The sequence below is a fragment of the Homo sapiens genome, chromosome 1 (assembly GCF_000001405.40).
Source record: "Homo sapiens chromosome 1, GRCh38.p14 Primary Assembly".
NCBI lineage: Eukaryota > Metazoa > Chordata > Mammalia > Primates > Hominidae > Homo > Homo sapiens.
Genome location: NC_000001.11, coordinates 196,773,406 through 196,795,619, shown reverse-complemented (window position 1 = coordinate 196,795,619; position 22,214 = coordinate 196,773,406). Strand labels below are relative to the sequence as shown.

At 35.7% G+C, this 22,214-nt stretch overlaps 1 protein-coding gene across 2 annotated transcripts; it reads right to left on the bottom strand.

Annotated features, from left to right (window-relative positions):
- Nucleotides 213-20,780, bottom strand: CFHR3 (complement factor H related 3). 2 transcript variants are annotated; one of them, NM_021023.6, is made up of 6 exons: nucleotides 20,676-20,780; nucleotides 16,264-16,458; nucleotides 15,647-15,823; nucleotides 7,222-7,404; nucleotides 5,393-5,575; nucleotides 213-2,303 (listed from the first exon to the last, which is right to left on the bottom strand). In NM_021023.6, exons 1-6 carry the CDS (start codon nucleotides 20,731-20,733, stop codon nucleotides 2,107-2,109), a joined length of 993 nt encoding a protein of 330 aa, NP_066303.2. In that variant the 5' UTR covers nucleotides 20,734-20,780; the 3' UTR covers nucleotides 213-2,106. The 2 variants fall into 2 exon arrangements, with proteins under 2 accessions (NP_066303.2, NP_001160096.1); NM_001166624.2 differs by lacking the exon at nucleotides 7,222-7,404.

Here is a 22,214-nt window from a genome sequence, read left to right as displayed (position 1 = left end):
AACAAGTCTCTCTAAGAAGTTCCAAACTTCCCCACATCTTCCTGCCTTCTTCTGAGTCCTCCAAACTGTTCCAACCTCTGTCTGTTACCCAGTTCCAAAGTCACTCTACATTTTTGGTTATCTTTACAGCAGCACCCCACTCTACTGTGTAATACCAATTTACTGTATTAGTTGATTCTCACACTGCTAATAAAAACATACTTGAGACTAGGTAATTTATAAAGGAAAGAGGTTTAATGGACTCACAGTTCCACATTGCTGGGAAGGCCTCACCATCATGACAGAAGGTGAATGAGTAGCAAAGGTACATCTTACATGGTGGCAGGCAAGAGAACTTGTCCAGGGGAACTTTCATTTATAAAACCATTAGATCTCATGAGATGTATTTACTACCATGAGTGGGGTATGGGGAAACTGCTCCCATGATTCCATTATCTCCACCTGGCCCTACCTTTGATGCATGGTGATTATATAATTCAAGGTGAAAATTGGGTGGGACACAGCCAAACCATATCAGCAATTATTTTTGAAATTTTATTTATGATGTATGTTGATGAAGTAGAATTAGTCACTGGAATTAATAAAACAATTTTTTACTTTTTATTCTCCAGTCTCTGCAAACCTGTTATTTGAAAACTGAGTTAGATTTGATAGCTTATATCATTCTTCAGTCTTAAAAAGTTATTCCTAGCTTTAGCCACCAAAACATTCTCAGTCTAGCAATTAATATTTCTCATTCTGTACAGGACTAGATCATTATACAAGTTCATGCTTTTTTCTCTATAATCAGGAAAAGTGTTGGGAAAGGGAACATTGTTTTCTTCTTACCCTGCAACTTCTCACTAACCATATGCTAACTGGGGGTAAAAATCTATTAAAGTGAATAGAGATTTCAATTTGTTAACAGGGATATACAATCTTTTCAAAAAATCCTTATATACAAAGAAAAGTACAGAACAGAAAGAGAGTGAAGGCAATTAACAGGAGAAAAGACAAAAAAAAATCTGAAGCAAAACTTAATAAGAAATGCAAAAAACCATATATGAAGAAACTTTCAAAATATTTGTATTAAGAAAATACAAATGTAGCCTTAAATAAATCAGAAAAAGAATTATTTCCTTAAATAGGAATTTTCAGCATCCTATTTATTTATTTTTAAGACAGAGTCTCACTCTATTGCCCAGGCTGGAGTGCAGTGGCACTATCTTGGCTCAGTTCAACCTCTGCCCCACTGGTTAAAGTGATTCTCCCACCTCAGCCTCCTGAGTAGCTGGGACTACAGGTGCACGCCATCATGCCGAGCTAGTTTTTCTATTTTTAGTAGAGACAGGGTTTCACCGTGTTGAACAGGCTGGTCTTGAACTTTTGACCTCTGATGATTGCCAGCTTGGCCTCTCAAAGTGCTAGGATTACAGGCGTGTGCCACTGCACCTGGCTTCAGCATCCTAAAGTGTCAACATTGCCCAAGTTAATATATACATTTAATGCACTTCTGGCTGTGTTCCCAATGCTCTGAAAGGGTTAGCAAAACCTCTTTTCTTTTTTCACAGGAAAATGATAATAATTCACCTTCTCTAGTACTATTTCCTTTAAATCATGATAATGATGTAATGTCAGTGTTTGCCAGGAAACACTACTTTTAATAAAAATGACCCTATTTGGTTAACTGCATCTAGAGGACCATGGCTACAATAAGGGAATACTATAGTGTGTTTATCTTCACTTACAATTTTAATATCTAATTTTATGGTATTATTACTTCCCCAAATAAAATCTAAAGTCATTTTGTTTCTATGTCTAGGTATACTATACAATATGCAGAAAGCCATTCAGCTGTCTGTCTCTATACTTACTAATTCATTGATAAGAAGTCCAATATAAGAGTAGTTTTTATTATTTTAGTACAAGCATAAGCAATAATTTAGTTTGTTTTAATATATTTTTGAGAATATATTAAGTTGCAAATTGAAACTATTATATTAATTTTCTTTGAAATAAAGTAGAAATTACAACAATATCAGAAGCTATCTTTGCAAGCTTTGAGACCATAAGAGTGAGAAGTGGAAAAGTGGAAGTTGGACATACATTTAGGGTAACAATGCTGCCTTATTCGCATCTGGGGTATTCCACTATCCCTTCCCGACACACTGCTTGAAATGATAGAATTGATGTATTTGCATTATATCCCAATTTACACATAAATTCAATGGTATCCCCTGTTTTTGCATAATATTTTCTGTCACTTCTTCCTTTTAACTTTATGTTATTTTTATTCATGTTTTCTTCAGTTATTATACATGGATCTGAAAGCAGAAAAAAACAATTAACAATCATAATTTTCTCTTTCATGAGCAAATAAAATGCATCCTAATGAGTAGTTTAGGATAAAATAAAATTATAAAATAATCCAAATAGTTAATAGTTATTAACTTGTGCTACATACTGACGTTAGCATTTCAAAAATATAATAAGTTCAGTTGCACTTCCCCAACATCACAGCAGAGATCATCAGGTGAGGTGATAAACGTGAACCCTGGCAGTCTTTCTCTAGAGCCTGAACTCTTCTTTCCTAAAATATGTTGTGTCCACCCTAGTGACTTCATATCAAAAAGGATTATGCTAACATGTTCCATTGGAGTCATGGTTACTTATCCTCCTTTCCCCCATTCGACAAGCCGTGACTACAAGCACTCCAAATGTACTCACATTTTGCTAATTTAATTCTATGTTTATATTTTTCTCTTATGCCCACAATGTAGAAACAGAACTGTAGAAAGGTATAATCTTTCTAATAGTCATCTGTTAAAATGAAACTATATATACATACATACATACATACATAAATATACCTCAATATCTATCAGTTATCTCTCTCTCTATCAACATCATCTATCCCTGTCATCTTCATTTTCTATTTTAAAGAGAGGCAAGGATAAGCACACAGAGTTAATATGAATCCCTACATGATTATGGACAAATTACTCTGTCTCACTATGCCTTCATCTGTAAAATCAGTAAGATAATGTTACTTCCACATATGGATTTTCTTTTATAAAATTCTTTTGTAAAAAAATTTATAATTTTTTTTTTAAGTTCCAGGGTACATGTGCAGGATGTGCAGGTTTGTTCCATAGGTAAATGTGTGCCATGGTGGTTTGCTGTACCTATCAACCCATACCCCAGGTATTAAGCCTAGTACTTACATGATAAAAATGTCAGTTCTTACATAGCAAGCTTTTCACTTTTGATGATATCATTCACTCACCTATCTCTTCTTTTGACTCAAGTATTCTGCATTCTAGTTTAGCCCTTATTAGCATTAGCATTTCTTTAGAAATTTCCCCAATCATATTTTAATACATCTTTCAAGTACTTACTTAAATAAATTTCTTAACATAGTACATATCACTTTTGAAATCCAAAAAATTTTAAGAGCTCTTCAATACATTCAGGGGCTGTTTACAATTCAAAAATAAATATTGTTTGAACTCTAAATACTTCTCCAAACATATTTTCCAAAACTTTCTAAAGTTTCCTGCTGCCTGGGAAAATTTTCCTCATTGCTTTAATATGCCATATGTATATGTAATCTTTTCCATAAGGTTGCCTTTTTCCCTAGAATTCTGTGCTTGAATGCTCTTTGCTTCTTTAGTTTTGAAGACTGAAAGTCTTGCTTGTATCATAGAACTGATCTTATATCTTCAGATAATTATAATCCTTTCCTGTTCTTGATTGTGAGAAGAGGTAATGCTTTTGCTGTGAAACCCATCTTAGGAGTGTCCATCTCCTCAGTCAATCAAATTTAAGACTCAGAATTTATCTCTGAAACCTAACACTTTTCTATGAAATCAAGTTTGAAGATACTTGTAAACTATTTTGATTTGAGGATACTAATTTCTTCTTCAGTCTTACCACTTGCATAGTTTGGAGCTCAAACTTGGACATGATCATCTACAGAAGTGGATACTTAAGTAGGGGACAATAATTAAGGTTTAGCCCATTGTAAGATCAGCCAAAATATCAGCGTCATCAGTCAATATGAAAGGTAAAAGGTAGCATAGCATCAAAATAAAGGAAATGAGTCACATCACAGAAAACAACTGCTTGTATCATCCTGTACTTAGGAACTTGAGCACTTGAAAAACTCATGAACTTACAGTTTAAGAGCTGTGATAGGAATAGGTTATCTGACATTCAAGGACTGATGGGTGTCCCAGGGCTCTACCTCATAGGCTAGTAGAAACTTGTGGCAAATTTTCTTTTAGGTTTTCTTGTTGTTGCCATAATCATTGTGGCTTATATTTTTTGAGTTGTGTTGCTTCAAGTTCATAGTACTTGGGGGACAAAATTCTGGAAGTATACCTATATTACTGGCTTGAGGGGTTTTTAGTGTATTCATTTTGATTCTGGTATAAGGGAAGAGGAGAATAAGGTAAAAATGGAAAAGCAATGGGTTATGGAAATGGCTGAAGTTTCGTTAATTTCTTTGTTGCTTGCTAGGAATACTGATAAAATATAAGTAAGAATAATAATCAGAGAAAGAACTTCTCAGTGTTAACCAGCTATGTGTTCTATCAGGAAAAATTTCATGTGTTCAAGTAGGGTTTAATAGTTTGTGGTTTTTTGAAACAATGTTTTCAGAACTGTTTGAAAACTCTTTACCTAAGTGTTAATAATGTGAAAATGATTACTGGTGTTAAGCTGAGATGCCATATTTCATATGTGCGCAATAAATGGTTGTCATTCTTGAAGACTCATTGTATCCATTAACAAATTGAAGACTCTGAACATTCTTGGTTTTTTCTTTTTCTCTTTTTCTTTTCTTCTTCTTCTGTTTTATTTATTTATTTATTTATTTATTTATTTATTTATTTATTTATTATTTTTTTATTTTTGGAGATGGGGTCTCCCTCTGTCGCCCAGGCTGGAGGGCAATGGTGCAATCTCCACTCACTGCAACCTCTGCCTCCCGGGTTCAAATGATTCTCCTGCCTCACCCTCCTGAGTAGCTGGGATTACAGGCATATGCCAGCATGCCTGGCTAATTTTTGTATTTTTTGTAGATACGGGGTTCACCATGTTGGTCAGGCTGATCTCGAACTCCTGACCTCATGGTCTGCCTGCCTCGGCCTTCCAAAGTGCTGGGACTACAGGCGTGAGCCACCACCCCAGGCCGACATTCCTGTTTTAAAAAAGAAACTTGGTCATTGTTTACATGGAATTTTCCAAGCTTATACACTTATATATTAAGATCTGAAAGGCAAACATTCAGCAGAATAGCTGTTTGTGAACACAGTTCTAGGGTAATAACCCATAAAAATTCTAGTATAAAAAAGCAAATATCAAACTTATTACTCTGATTTTCTCAGGATCTAGAATTTTAAGAACTTACGTATGCATCTTGGTGGTTCCGACCACTCTCCATTACTACATGTTACATAATTAGAACCCTGAAGTTCATAGTAGGGCTGGCATTGGTACTCGACTCTTGACTGTGGCACATACACTTTTAGTAGAAAGGAGGTGGTATCACCATTGCTAATAGGTGGAGGAGGCCCACACTTTTCTGAAGAATCTGAAAAAAAATACTTTATATGTGGGGAAAAATCAATAGTCTTATTGGAAACTTTCTAAATAAAGCTTTTTATATACTCTTAACTGTATCTTATTTGATTTCTTAGGAAGACATCTGCATTTTCAACGTTGTTTTTTCTTTTTAAGTCTCAAGATAATTCACACTCATAGGAGGACTACATATATATGTACATATATGTACACACATATGTGTACATATACATATGTAGGTGTCTATTTATTATTTTATTTAATTCTAATAAAAAATACTTGAATAAAATACTTACTATAACATGTTGGGAAATGGGACTACCCATCTTCACCACACACTATGGAACCTGTGGTGTTTCCATAACTGATTTCATATCCATCGTAGCATTCGTAGTCCAATGTGTCACGGAGCTTAAACCGCTTTTAAATTTGTGAATTTAAAAGTTAATGTAACCATTTATGTAGTTATGTAACGATTTACTAACAGTAAGGGTGTATATATTAGATAAAAATTATATTAATTGGATATAAGTTCTATAAAATTTATGAAGCATCCTGTCTTTTATTTCACAAGTTTTAAAGTAGATCATTTATCAAAGCTGAGTAAAATTGAAGTATACACCTTTTTCTTTACACAGAGCCCTTGATAAGTATAGAAATTGAAAACAGTATTCTAGAAATGTAGGAATTCATATAACCCCCAAAACTCATGATAACATTGAGATAATCACTTTGTAAGTGTATCTTTTTTCTCTCTTAGCTTAATATTTTTGAGAGTCTTCCATGTTGTATTATGTATCAAGGTTCCATATTATCTCATGACTAAAAATAGTTGAATTGTACCCTTGAAAATGAAGTGGATTTGGGAGTATGTAAATTATACAACAGTATTTGGGTTAAAAATACATTCAGCAATTTATCTTTAAAACTCTTTGTGAATATATAAAGAGGAAAGAAAAAAAATCAACTTTTGCCACTGAAAGATTTCCTTTGTTCATTATGCATTCTCTTTATCATACTAAGTAAAGGTCGAGCACGTTCAGAGAACTTTACATGTAAAGAATCCATTGGCAAGTATGAGGTTTGTAAACATTCAGCCCACCCACTTACCCTTTTCCTTTACTTGTTTTCTCTGTAGTAAACAATAGGGTAGAGATAATTTTTTGATTGGATATCCTCAGTAGCATCATTGATACAAATTATTAAGGTCTGATTCTCCTGACGCTAGCAGAAATTCAGAATTAAGCACTCATTTCTCCCCCGACATGTACAACTTTTCTGAGCGTGAGCACGGAATGCAATACAAGCAGCTGATAATTTTGAAATACAAAGAAAGGGAAGACAACAAAGTTTTTATTGGCAACTAACATATTTTGCTGATACTCTCATGCAGCTCCCTAACTAGTCTGTACATGATAAGATTGCTTTTATGTAAAGGCAGATTGAGTTGTAAGAGATGAAATGATCATCTTCCCAAGTAGCCATTACTCTAAACATGCAAAAGACTTAATTTGGCACAGAATGTTGAATGGTTTTAGAAGTATTTGTATCTCTTTACTCCTAAAATTGTTTTCTATATTTTTAAGTAAAACACTATCATCTCAAAGAGAGGAACGAAGTTGACAGAAACTGAATGGGAATATGTAAATCACTTACTAATGCAAATTGGTTGTGCTGACCATCCATTTTGCAAACATGTAATTGATCCTGAAGAATTTCCATCTGCTGTTGCATATCCTGGTTTACATTTATATTGTATTTCTTTATTTAAAATATAAATAGAGGAAGATTCGGAAATGAATCCATTTTCAATTTCTATATCTGATTTTGAGCATGTTCCTAAAATAGAAAAAGTCAAGAAAAAAGTAAATATTAGTTGAATAGTTCTTTTATAGGAGGGAACAAGTAAAAACATGGCAATATGGCGAAACAATGAAACATTTGTTAATGAATTGAAAACAGCAAAACTGGAAGTTTCCTAGACATCCGTGTTCTTAAAGGAAACCACGAATTTCTGAAGGAAATGTTGAACACAGGGAAGGGCAGAATGAAAGCAAAGAATCCTTGAGACTGTCAACAGAGCTCTGGCAGTCCTTGAGGAGTGCAGATCTAGGAGACTCTCCAGTCCCTAATGAAATTTTGGAAGACTTTCTGGCTACTTTGCAACAACCTGAGTATTTTTGGTACTATTAAGGGGTCTTAAACCTCATTAAGTCAAATGCCATTTCCCAGGCAAAGATACGGTACACCCTGCTACCATAGGCAAGAAAGTAATTTTGTAAATCCTTTGTCTCCAAGAATTTAAAATGGTTGTCATCTTAAGTGGGTGCTTAAACCCATATAGACGTGGTGTTTGAGAGGCATGTGGAAATGTAAGCAGAAAAAAGAAAGCAAGCAAGATAGCAAAAATAAGTTCTAATATATTAGCAATGTATTTGTTCTTTATATATTAGTAATGTATGTGTTCTATACATTACTAATGGGTATATGTACAAGGTAGTAATTATTTTAGTAACGCATATGTTTTAAGATATTAGTAATGTATATGTTCTTTTCTAATTAGTAATTCAAAAACAAATGTAAATGGACCAATTTTACTATCTGAAAGAAAAAGAAATCATGTTAAAGATGATGCATATTTATAATATAGCATTTGTCATAATCATGAGTTTTCTGATCTATTCTTGCCTACTTTCCTATTAATCTCCTCCAGCCTCTAAACTACAATGTTCAGTTTCTATTGTAAACAGCTTTATTTTCAATACCTACAAAGTGCTTGACACACAACAATATTTATTAGGTGGATTAATGATAGAGTTGGTGCTTATGGCAGGAGAAAAAGGGACTTTTCTTTCAGGGGCTTAGGCTATTGTTGAGGACAGTTGCTCCTATAATGGTGTAGGAAGATTCCCATTATCTTTCGTCTCAATTATTCCATAATTATTATGCGGTTTCTATAATGGAATGTTTTGTAAATTGCAAACAATACACACAAACAATTTTCAGAGTCCCCTTTACTTAAAAAGTAAAAGTCAGCTGTAACTGAAGATGAGCCTTAATTTAAAGCAACAGAGCACTAACTAAAAAATAGATATCATAGAGGGCAGCCAAGATGGCCAAATCGGAACAGCTCTGGTCTACAGCTCCCAGCGTGAGCGACGCAGAAGACGGGTGATTTCTGCATTTCCATCTGAGGTTCTGGGTTCATCTCACTAGGGAGTGCCAGACAGTGGGTGCAGGACAATGGGTGCAGCGCACCGTGCGTGAGCCAAAGCAGGGGAAGGCATTGCCTCACTTGGGAGGCACAAGGGGTCAGGGAGTTCCCTTTCCTAGTCAAAGAAAGGGGTGACACACGGCACCTGGAAAATCGGGTCACTCCCACCCTAATACTGCGCTTTTCCCACGGGCTTAAAAAACGGCACACCAGGAGATTATATCGCTCACCTGGCTCAGAGGGTCCTATGCCCACGGAGTCTCTCTGATTGCTAGCATAGCAGTCTGAGATCAAACTGCAAGGCGGCAGCGAGGCTGGGGGAGGGGGGCCTGCCATTGCCCAGGCTTGCTTAGGTAAACAAAGCAGCCAGGAAGCTCGAACTGGGTGGAGCCCACCACAGCTCAAGGAGGCCTGCCTGCCTCTGTAGGCTCCACCTCTGGGGGCAGGGCACAGACAAACAAAAAGACAGCAGTAACCTCTGCAGACTTAAATGTCCCTGTCTGACAGCTTTGAAGAGAGCAGTGGTTCTCCCAGCACGCAGCTGGAGATCTGAGAACGGGCAGACTGCCTCCTCAAGTTGGTCGCTGACCCCAACCCCCGAGCAGCCTAACTGGGAGGCACCACCCAGTAGGGGCAGACTGACACCTCACACGGCCGGGTACTCCTCTGAGACAAAACTTCCAGAGGAACCATCATACAGCAGCATTCGCGGTTCATGAAAATCCGCTGTTCTGCAGCCACTGCTGCAGATACCCAGGCAAACAGGGTCTAGAGTGGACCTCTAGCAAACTCCAACAGACCTGCAGCTGAGGGTCCTGTCTGTTAGAAGGAAAACTAACAAACAGAAAGGACATCCACACCAAAAACCCATCTGTACATCACCATCATCAAAGACCAAAAGTAGATAAAACCACAAAGATGGGGAAAAAACAGAGCAGAAAAACTGGAAACTCTAAAAGCAGAGCACCTCTCCTCCTCCAAAGGAACAAAGTTCCTCACCAGCAACGGAACAAAGCTGGACGGAGAATGACTTTGACGAGTTGAGAAAAGAAGGCTTCAGACAATCAAACTACTCCAAGCTACAGGAGGAAATTCAAACCAAAGGCAAAGAAGTTAAAAATTTGAAAAAAATTTAGACAAATGTATAAGTAGAATAACCAATACAGAGAAGTGCTTAAAGGAGCTGGTGGAGCTGAAAGCCAAGGCTCGAGAACTACGTGAAGAATACAGAAGCCTCAGGAGCCGATGTGATCATCTGGAAGAAAGGGTATCAGTGATGGAAGATGAAATGAATGAAATGAAGCGAGAAGGGAAGTTTAGAGAAAAAAGACCAAAAAGAAATGAACAAAACCTCCAAGAAATATGGGACTATGTGAAAAGACCAAATCTACATCTGATTGGTGTACCTGAAAGTGACGGGGAGAATGGAACCAAGTTGGAAAACACTCTGCAGGATATTATCCAGGAGAACTTCCCCAATCTAGCAAGGCAGGCCAACATTCAGATTCAGGAAATACAGAGAACGCCACAAAGATACTCCTAGAGAAGAGCAACTCCAAGACACATAATTGTCAGATTCACCAAAGTTGAAATGAAGGAAAAAATGTTAAGGGCAGCCAGAGAGAAAGGTCGGGTTACCCACAAAGGGAAGCCCATCAGACTAATAGCAGATCTCTCAGCAGAAACTCTACAAGCCAGAAGAGAGTGGGGGCCAATATTCAACATTCTTAAAGAGAAGAATTTTCAACCCAGAATTTCATATCCAGCCAAACTAAGCTTCATAAGTGAAGGAGAAATAAAATCCTTTACAGATAAGCAAATGCTGAGAGATTTTGTCACCACCAGGCCTGCCCTAAAAGAGCTCCTGAAGGAAGCACTAAACATGGAAAGGAACAACTGGTACCAGCCACTGCAAAATCATGCCAAAATGTAAAGACCATCGAGACTAGGAAGAAACTGCATCAACTAACAAGCAAAATAACCAGCTAACATCATAATGACAGGATCAAATTCACATTTAACAATATTAACTTTAAATGTAAATGGACTAAATGCTCCAATTAAAAGACACAGACTGGCAAATTGGATAAAGAGTCAAGACCCATCAGTGTGCTGTATTCAGGAAACCCATCTCATGTGCAGAGACACACATAGGCTCAAAATAAAAGGATGGAGGAAGATCTACCAAGCAAATGGAAAACAAAAAAAGGCAGGGGTTGCAATCCTAGTCTCTGATGAAACAAACTTTAAACCAACAAAGATCAAAAGAGACAAAGAAGGCCATTACATAATGGTAAAGGGATCAATTCAACAAGAAGAGCTAACTATCCTAGATATATATGCACCCAATACAGGAGCACCCAGATTCATAAAGCAAGTCTGGAGTGACCTACAAAGAGACTTAGACTCCCACACAATAATAATGGGAGACTTTAACACACCACTGTCAACATTAGACAGATCAACGAGATGGAAAGTCAACAAGGATACCCAGGAATTGAACTCAGCTCTGCACCAAGCGGACCTAATAGACATTTACAGAACTCTCCACCCCAAATCGACAGAATATACATTTTTTTCAGCACCACACCACACCAATTCCAAAATTGACCACATAGTTGGAAGTAAAGCTCTCCTCAGCAAATGTAAAAGAACAGAAATTATAACAAACTGTCTCTCAGACCACAGTGCAATCAAACTAGAACTCAGGATTAAGAAACTCACTCAAAACTGCTCAACTACATGGAAACTGAACAAACTGCTCCTGAATGACTACTGGGTACATAAAGAAATGAAGGCAGAAATAAAGATGTTCTTTGAAACCAACGAGAACAAAGACACAACATACCAGAATCTATGGGACACATTCAAAGCAGTGTGTAGAGGGAAATTTATAGCACTAAATGCCCACAAGAGAAAGCAGGAAAGATCCAAAATTGACACCCTAACATCACAATTAAAAGAACTAGAAAAGCAAGAGCAAACACATTCAAAGCTAGCAGAAGGCAAGAAATAACTAAAATCAGAGGAGAACTGAAGGAAATAGAGGCACAAAAAGCCTGTCAAAAAATTAATGAATCCAGGAGCTGGTTTTTTGAAAGGATCAACAAAATCGATAGACTGCTAGCAAGAGTAATAAAGAAAAAAAGAGAGATGAATCAAATAGACACAATAAAAAATGATAAAGGGGATATCACCACCAATCCCACAGAAATACAAACTACCATCAGAGAATACTACAAACACCTCTGCGCAAATAAACTAGAAAATCTAGAAGAAATGGATAAATTCCTTGACACATACACTCTCCCAAGACTAAACCAGGAAGAAGTTGAATCTCTGAATAGACCAATAACAGGCTCTGAAATTGTGGCAATAATCAATAGCTTACCAACCAAAAAGAGTCCAGGACCAGATGGATTCACAGCCGAATTCTACCAGAGGTACAAGGAGCAACTGGTACCATTCCTTCTGAAACTATTCCAATCAATAGAAAAAGAGGGAATCCTCCCTAACTCATTTTATGAGGCCAGCATCATCCTGATACCAAAGCCAGGCAGAGACACAACCAAAAAAGATAATTTTAGACCAATATCCTTGATTAATATTGATACAAAAATCCTCAATAAAATACTGGCAAACCGAATCCAACAGCACATCAAAAAGCTTATCCACCATGATCAAGTGGTCTTCATCCCGGGGATGCAAGGCTAGTTCAATATACGCAAATCAATAAATGTAATCCAGCATATAGACAGAACCAAAGACAAAAACCACATGATTATCTCAATAGATGCAGAAAAGGCCTTTGACAAAATTCAACAACGCTTCATGCTAAAAACTCTCAATAAATTAGATATTGATGGGACATATCTCAAAATAACAAGAACTATCTATGACAAACCCACAGCCAATATCATACTGAATGGGCAAAAACTGGAAGCATTCCTTTGAAAATCAGCACAAGACAGGGATGCCCTCTCTCACCACTCCTATTCAACATAGTGTTGGAAGTTCTGGCCAGGGATCTCCTTCAGGAGAAAGAAATAAAGGGTATTCAATTAGGAAAAGAGGAAGTCAAATTGTCCTTGTTTGCAGGTGACATGATTGTATATCTAGAAAACCCCATTGTCTCAGCCCAAAATCTCCTAAAGCTGATTAGCAACTTCAGCAAAGTCTCAGGATACAAAATCAATGTACAAAAATCACAAGCATTCTTATACACCAATAACAGACAAACAGAGAGCCAAATCATGAGTGAACTCCCATTCACAATTGCTTCAAAGAGAATAAAATACCTAGGAATCCAACTTACAAGGGACGCGAAGGACCTCTTCAAGGAGAACCACAAACCACTGCTCAAGGAAATAAAAGAGGATACAAACAAATGGAAGAACATTCCATGCTCATGGGTAGGAGGAATCAATATCATGAAAATGGCCATACTGCCCAAGGTAATTTATAGATTCAATGCCATCCCCATCAAGCTACCAATGACTTTCTTCACCAAAGTGGAAAAAAGTACTTTAAAGTTCATATGGAACCAAAAAAGAGCCCGCATCACCAAGTCAATCCTAAGCCAAAAGAACAAAGCTGGAGGCATCACACTACGTGACTTCAAACTATACTACAAGGCTACAGTAACCAAAACAGCATGGTACTGCTACCAAAACAGAGATATAGATCAATGGAACAGAACAGAGCCCTCAGAAATAACGCTGCATATCTACAACTATCTGATCTTTGACAAACCTGAGAAAAACAAGTAATGGGGAAAGGATTCCCTATTTAATAAATGTTGCTGGGAAAACAGGCTAGCCATATGTAGAAAGCTGAAACTGGATCCCTTCCTTACACCTTATACAAAAATTAATTCAAGATGGATTAAAGACTTAAATGATAGACCTAACACCATAAAAACCCTAAAAGAAAACCTAGGCATTACCATTCAGGACATAGGCATGGGCAAGGACTTCATGTCTAAAACACCAAAAGCAATGGCAACAAAAGCCAAAATTGACAAATGGGATCTAATTAAACTAAAGAGCTTCCGCACAGCAAAAGAAACTACCATCAGAGTGAACAGGCAACCTACAAAATGGGAGAAAATTTTTGCAACCTACTCATCTGACAAAGGGCTAATATCCAGAATCTACAATGAACTCAAACAAATTTACAAGAAAAAAACAAACAACCCCATCAAAAAGTGGGCAAAGGACATGAACAGATGCTTCTCAAAAGAAGACATTTACGCAGCCAAAAAACACATGAAAAAATGCTCACCATCACTGGCCATCAGAGAAATGCAAATCAAAACCACAATGAGATACCATCTCACACCAGTTAGAATGGCAATCATTAAAAAGTCAGGAAACAACAGGTGCTGGAGAGGATGTGAAGAAATAGGAACACTTTTACACCATTGGTGGGACTGTAAACTAGTTCAACCATTGTGGAAGACAGTGTGGTGATTCCTCAGGGATCTAGAACTAGAAATACCATTTGACCCAGCCATCCCATTAATGGGTATATACCCAAAGGACTATAAATCATGCTGCTATAAAGACACATGCACACGTATGCTTATTGCGGCATTATTCACAATAGCAAAGACTTGGAACCAACCCAAATGTCCAACAATGATAGACTGGATTAAGAAAATGTGGCACATATACACCATGGAATTCTATGCAGCCATAAAAAATGATGAGTTCATGTTCTTTGTAGGGACATGGATGAAACTGGAAATCACCATTCTCAGTAAACTATCACAAGGACAAAACACCAAACACCACGTGTTCTCACTCATAGGTGGGAACTGAACAACGAGAACACATGGACACAGGAAGGGGAACATCACACTCTGGGGACTGTTGTGGGGTGGGGGGAGGGGGGAGGGATAGTATTAGGAGATATACCTAATGCTAAATGATGAGTTAATGGGTGCAGCACACCAGCATGGCACATGTATACATATGTAACTAACCTGCACATTGTGCACATGTACCCTAAAACTTAAAATATAATAATAATAAAATATAAAAAAAGAACCAAAAAACATTCATCATGAAAAAAGATTGACAATTATTTAGTAAAATGAGCAACTTGTTCATAATGCAGAAAAAAGGAAAGAACAATACTAGCCACAAAGAGAATGCATTTGCATTACATATAATTAAAAGAGATTTTACCTTCAGAATTATTAAGATGATTCCAACTAATAACAACCAAAACTCCCAAAAAGATAAATAAAAGAAATCAAACTGCATTTCCAAATTTTAGAATCATTAAATACCAATTAAACTGTGAACATGTATTCTAAATCCAGCTGGTAGTAAAAGAAATGCAAATTTACATTACAATGCTATACCATTTTATAGCCACTCAACTTGTAAATATTAAAATGTGACATCACCAATCATTAGCAACATGTGAAAAAAGAAGGAACTGTTTATATAAATGTATATTTGAATAAATACTGTAGGAAACCTTCTAGAGTAGAATATGTACAAGATCCCAGAATACCCATTTGTACTTAATCTTCTTGGTGCAAGATGACGAACCTCGGGTATTTACCCGAGACATTAATGCCGCTTCAATATGACTTTATTTAGCCAACAAGTATTGTGTTCTAATTCTTTTACTGTATTCTTGACTAATGCCCATTAATAGGAGCATTTATTTTGCTATGTACTTATCAAGAAATTTGTATATTCACACAATTAAAAAAGTAAAACTAAATAGGTCCGTTGGCAAAACAAGTTGACAAAAACATTTTGCCACAGTTAATATAGACAAGTCTGAGACTGTCGTCCGTGTTACTTAGAAAGACATGAACATGCTGGGATCTCAGAGCGGTGTACTTACTGACACGGATGCATCTGGGAGTAGGAGACCAGCCTTTCTCCGTACATGTAACTGTGGTCTGCGCTTTTGGAAGACCGTAGCCAGGATGGCAGGCAACTTCTGTAGAGTTACCCTGTACAAACTTTCTTCCATAATTTTGATTATATCCATTTTCCAAATAAGGAAAATAACATTTTCCTAAGGACATAGCAATGATAAATAAATAAAGTAAATGAGAAACATAAATTTGCACAAAAAGTATATTAAAATTATTGTTACCATATTTAAATAAGATCGCATAAACATCCAAAAATAATGTACAACTTAGTATGAACCAAAATTACTAACAAAGGTTGTACAAGAGGAAATGTCAATATTTAATATTACTTCTCTTTAGTTTTCATAATTAAAATATGTATAAACTATATAGATATTCTCATAAAGTCTCTATATTTATTTTTCATATGATTTTCAAGAACTCCTCATAATAGAAAAGATCTATTTTGGTCATTTTGCTTGAACAACTCATTTCTTGGCCCTATTTCTGTTACATAAGACAAGAGTAATCAATTATGTGCTCTCCTCTCTTTAATCTTTTAAAGTTTTATACATGTGTAGCAGTTCAGAGGATTACTTACTGAGACATGGTACTGCTGGTGACCACCCATTTTGTGTGCAATGAATGTAATCCCAGTAACTTCCTGAAGGAGTCTCAAAATGTTCATCACAGTAATAGGAGTAATATTTTCCTACAGCTACTGGAAAGTATGGTCTACGCATATTCTCATGAAATAGACCTCCATGTTTAATGTCTGGAAAATCACAAGGTTTCACTTGCAATAAAAAACAAACAAAAAAGTATAAATAATTTTTACTGTAATAAATCATATTAGAGATAAATTTTGATATCACCTTCTCTCAAACATTTTCTTGTGGAATTACAGCAACCATAACTAGTTTCCTGATCCTGACCTCTCATCTGTATAATCTGTTTTCCTGGGTATAAATTAATAACCCTTCATCTGGTCATTTTATTTCTACACTTAAAATCCTTAATGGATCCCAAATCAGCTAACAGGACAAGAAGAACCTCATTCTACTTTCTCTACTTCTACTAATGTAGTATGGTCTCTTTAGCAATTCTGGAGGTTTTATCAACATTAATTTGAACTGAGCTTATCTAGAACTATACCAAGTTATGCTAAAGCTGTCAGTTCAGGGTGCACACATTACCAATAATTGTTTTTTGGAAAAGAGAAACAAGAAATATGACTCTAAACATTAAAAAAAATCAGAAATGTACCAATTATCTCCAGAAATAAAACATTTTCTTGAGTTTTGTGGCATTTTGTTTGTATTCGATGGCATGCATTCTTACCATAGTTAGAATTCATGTATCGGATGAGATATATTATTGACATAAAAAAATAGGTGCATACACGAATGTTCAAATATATATATATTCTTACATTCTATATGTATGTAGACATATAGAATGTTGACCAATACCATAATTTAAATAGCATATAATTTATGTTTCTTCTATAATTCTGGAACAAGTGATAGAAAATAATATTTACAGCCTATTTATTGGGAAAACTTAAGAATATCACTAAGGAAAAATCTTTAAGTTTGAATCATCATAAATCAGAGAGAACGGGAAGGAGGCTAGCGGCACAACAGCTTTAGTGTGCAGATGAGAAGACTAAGTTCAGAGAAGTGACATCTTTACTTTGTGGGAAGTGTTTGCTAGTTACAGAACTGGCTCCAGAGGCTTGTTGGGTGACGCATGACAGCTTCTCTGACCCAGTCCCTCAAGCATGGATGCACAGTTTTCTGCTGAGTGTCTCCTCCATATTGGAAAATCTAAATCTCCCTGCACTGTGTAACCTCCTGAGATACTCTTACATTTTCTTATGATTGCAGGCTATTTAGTCTGAAGAAGAAAGGGACATATATTAAAGGAAATCATTTTAATTTTTCTTTCTTTTCTTTTTTTTTTTTTTTTTTTTAACAGTCTTGTTCTGTCACCAAGGCTAGAGTACAGTGGCACCATCTCGGCTCACTGCAACCTCTGCCTCCCAGGTTCAAGTTATTCTCCTGCCTCAGTCTCCTGAGTAGCTGGGATTGCAGGTGTGTGCCGCCACTCCGGCTAATTTTTTGAATTGTTAGTAGAGACAGCGTTCCATCATGTTGGCCGGGCTGGTCTCCAACTCCTGACCTCAAGTGATCCGCGCGCCTTGGCCCCCGAAAGTGCTGGGATTAAGGCAGGAGCCCCCCGGCTCGACCAAAAATTACTTTTCTTAGTCAGTGATAATTTCGAAACTGTAGTGAGTTTTTCATAGTTTAGGTTTGTTTCTGAAAATCGTTTCTCCCACTAAAAGGCACTGGAATTTCATAGGGAAATTATTGGAACTTGGTCTGTAGTAGGAAAAGTCAAGGAAATCCTGGGACCTTTTGTTATGCCAAAGTGTAATGGGGACACGTGAAATATACACAGAAGCCAGCTTCTTAGTTAAACTTGAAATAAATTTGAGCGTCCCAAAGAAGTACAATGGCAATTAACTGTAATGCATTGGGTACTGAAAATGATCAGTTTAAAAGGAATTTAGAGGCAACCCTACTCTACATTACTAATTGTCACCCTTGACACTTTGTTATGGCAACTCTAGTAGATGAATATAAAGTTTATACAATTCTGAAAGGATATTCATGATTAAAAATAATTTTCCTGACAACCTGTTTTTAAATAAGTGTAAATAACTTATGAGTTGATGGAAGAAATATTGGTCAATACAAATTCAATGAACATTATAATAGGTTGCAATTACAAATTTTCTGTCAAGTTTATCTTTCAAATAGCGTGGCTTCCAAAAGAATTGGTGTGCTGATTTTATTGTTCAGAACTGAAACATCAACCACCATTAAAAAAAAATTCTTAGCATAAGCAACTCACAAAGTATATCCTTCATTAATCATATGAAAAATATTTGCTGATTCGATTTACTAGATTCTGAATATAGATGAATACAGATAATATGTAAACACAAAGTATTCAACAAGACAAAAATCAGCAAGGACAATACACCCAAGATATAATTACCCAATTCTGATGAATACCCTCTAAAATCTGTGTTGGTGGGTATATATATATATATATCCTTGAGTAAAAAGTAAAAAGTTATTTTTAATTATTAATATTCTTTTAATACATTGTGTAAATATCATAGTATTCATCTGCTAGAGCTACCATAACAAAGTACTACTGATTTCATAGAAATTTATTTTCTCACAGTTCTGGAGGCTACTAGTTTGAGATATAGCTGTCAACAGGATTGGATGCTTCTGAGACCTCCTCCTTTGCCTTGTAAATGGTTGTTTTCTCTCTATGCCTTGCGTGATCTTTCCCTATACGGTGTGTTCTTATTTTCTCTTCTTATATGGACACCAGTTATATTGGAGTAGGACCCACCTGAATCATTGACCTTTAACTTAATTACATCGCTAAGCACTCCTTCTCCAAATGCAGTCACATTCTCAGGTATTGGGAATTTGGACTTTAACAAATGAATTTTGGCGGGATGCAGTTGAGCCAATGCTACTGAATTCACAAAGATGTTTCTCTCTACCCAAGATGTTATTCCACTAAATGAGTTACTTTCTCCTTTGAGAAATATAGGTGCAACCCAAATTTACAAGACATTTTGCTCAAGTTTACTCTTACAAAGAGTTCATTGGAGGAGGCAAGTTTTCCACTGGAATATCAGATAAGAAAGAATTTGTCATCATTCTTTTCTATAGTGCTTTTAAGAAAGTAAGTAAGAAAATATAGTGCATATGCTTCTCTAATTCCAGTCATTTCAAAATAGTAGTATTTTCTTCTTTGCATTCTACTTTAATCTATTTAGTCTTTATTTGAAGAAATGTACCTGTAACAGTTCAGTTAAAAAAGGAAATAACTGGTGAAATTCCTTTTTTTTTCCATTTTGGCACAGATCAAGTTTGATTTTGCGCAACAAATAAAACTAGCAAATCATGTGATAGATAATACTATAAAACTTAAAGCTCTTTCCCTAGAATCAAATAAAGTGGCATAGCTTCGCGAAGAGTGGTTGAGGGAAAAGATAGTCTCATAAATTGATAATGGGATTTCCAGTATTACCCTCCATTACATTGGCTGAAATATGAAGTTTTGGATAATTACAAAATTTGTATTCTTCATTAATGGACACACACCCTTGATTGTCCATGATTTTTGACCCATGTGGTTCCACTGCTAATGTTACCATATAGTTCTTTAATATGCAAGGCCTGCATTCAAAAAGATAATTAATACAGAAAATATATGACTATCTAGGAGAAATCAGTGAACAATGACATAACGCTATGAAAAGTATTTTCTGTATATTTACTTATTGAACATTTGCTAGTGAACTCAGAAATGCCAATCAAAACTTACTATCTTTCCAATGTAAGTTTATATTCTATTTTTTCATTATATATGTATGTTGCTAATTTTGTTGACGTAGTAAGTTGATATTAATGTTAATTAGTTTTAGCAGCTTTCTTAAGCTATAATAGAAATATAAGAAACTGCATAATTTAAAATGTATTATTTGATTTTTTGATATATAAATCTATAAAAATCACCATATGTAAGATTATGAAAACATCAGTCACTCCCAATGTTCCCCTTGTATTACGTATAGGAAAATTCTGAACATTTTAAGCTTAGAATCTGTCTAATGACATGTTTCCTACTTAAAGTTTCATGAGTATATTCACATATCTCCATAATCAATATTAAATGCCTTTTACACTGTAGAACTTAGAAAACAAATAAAACATTATTCATTTTTTCTTTAAGTTAAAATGAGATAATTTTTTATAAAATTAATTTCTGTTATACTCTCACAAAATATGTCACTTCTACTAGCATAGTGAATAAATCCTCTTTGATTCATAAAATAATTATAGACATACAAAGCTAGATATTACATGAAGTTACATTTAAGAGGGAAGCTGAGTGTTTAGATCTCTTTTAACTTACCTTGTCCATTAGCACAGGAAACCCACAAGGTCAGAATGACATTGATTAGTAACAACATGTTAGATATTCTCAGTAGTATGCTAATACAAAAGTTTCAGTTGCACTGTTTGGGGTTTGAAATCTTTCATTATTAGTTACCAAGTGTGGTTCTGAATTTAAGTGCACTACCATGAAGCTAGGGGCTTTAAGGTCATTTAGTAAATATCAAAGTTCAGAGAGTTTTACAAAATGCTTCAATAATTCCAGTTAGTGGTTTCACAATCATCTGTGGATTTGATTGCCTGATATGTACTGGTACAATTTTATTTAGGCACAGTAATGGACTGAATGCAAAAGTAACATAAAACATTAATTTACTTTATTTCTCATTTTTTGAGTAAAGAGAGTTTCCATAAAGGGAACGAAAGGCTTCTGCAACTATTGGAAGAACTGAGGGAACAAAGGTCAAAAATGCTATTTCCAGAAAATTCTGATGTTCAAGAGTCTTAGTGATGCCCTCACTAATTATCTATGGTGCTGCAGTGGATGTTTCTCAGCAAAACGTCCAGAATCAAAGAAAGCTACTGTTGGTGATCTCAGCTGCTACCAGCAGCTGCTACCAGATAATCCCTTGTCTTTCTCTTCTTCCAAGTCTTCTTTAAGTACATCTCATGGGGGAATCTAAGGGAGAAGCAAGCTATGGAGAAAGGAACTTCAGAAACTGTAGTTTCAGGCTGATCTTCTGCAATGCAGAAGAAAATGAAGATAGGAACTGGGTTGATTTCAAGTTGAAAATAAACATCTGGCACACTCATCTCGTGAAAATCCTGCTGTTTGGCATGGCAAGGTTTTTTTCCCCCCCCCCACAAATGGTCAAAATACTCTTATCCCACATACTCTTCTTAAAATGAGAACACTAATTTTAAAATTAAACACTGGAAAATAGGTGAGTTTCTTCCACATACAGATGAATCATTAATGAGTAACTCTCAGGGTCCATGTCTCTAAAATTTTCTGTTGTCCTTTGCTTTCCAGTACCCAACTTAATTACATAAGGTTGTATGAAAACAAACCGGTGTGTCTGGATCCCATTCCACTCTCTGTATTTTTATGTGTTTAGAGTAGCATACTGATTTTCAGAACTCACAATAGATCATACTGAGTACAAAAGTTTCAGCATATTCTTGATATTTAAATGTTTTTAAAGTTGTGTTTTGGGGTATCTTTTATTTTTAGTACAATACATTCATATATATATATATATATATATATGTATATATATATATATATATATAAAATTTTCTGTTTTGTTGGAAGAATATAACTCAAGTCCACACATGTTCTCTCATTGACTTCTTCTGTTTATTCTTTATTTTACATTACTATACTTGCCGTGGTTTAAGATACTGTTCATTAAAATAAGAGAATCATGGAGAGAATAACATCAGCAAAACTGCAGTGTAGGAGTTCTCCAGCTTCTCTCCCTCCTACAGAAACTTAAAAGCAACCACTGAGAGCCAAGATTACCACCCTGAATATCCTAGAACTTAGAAATGAAGC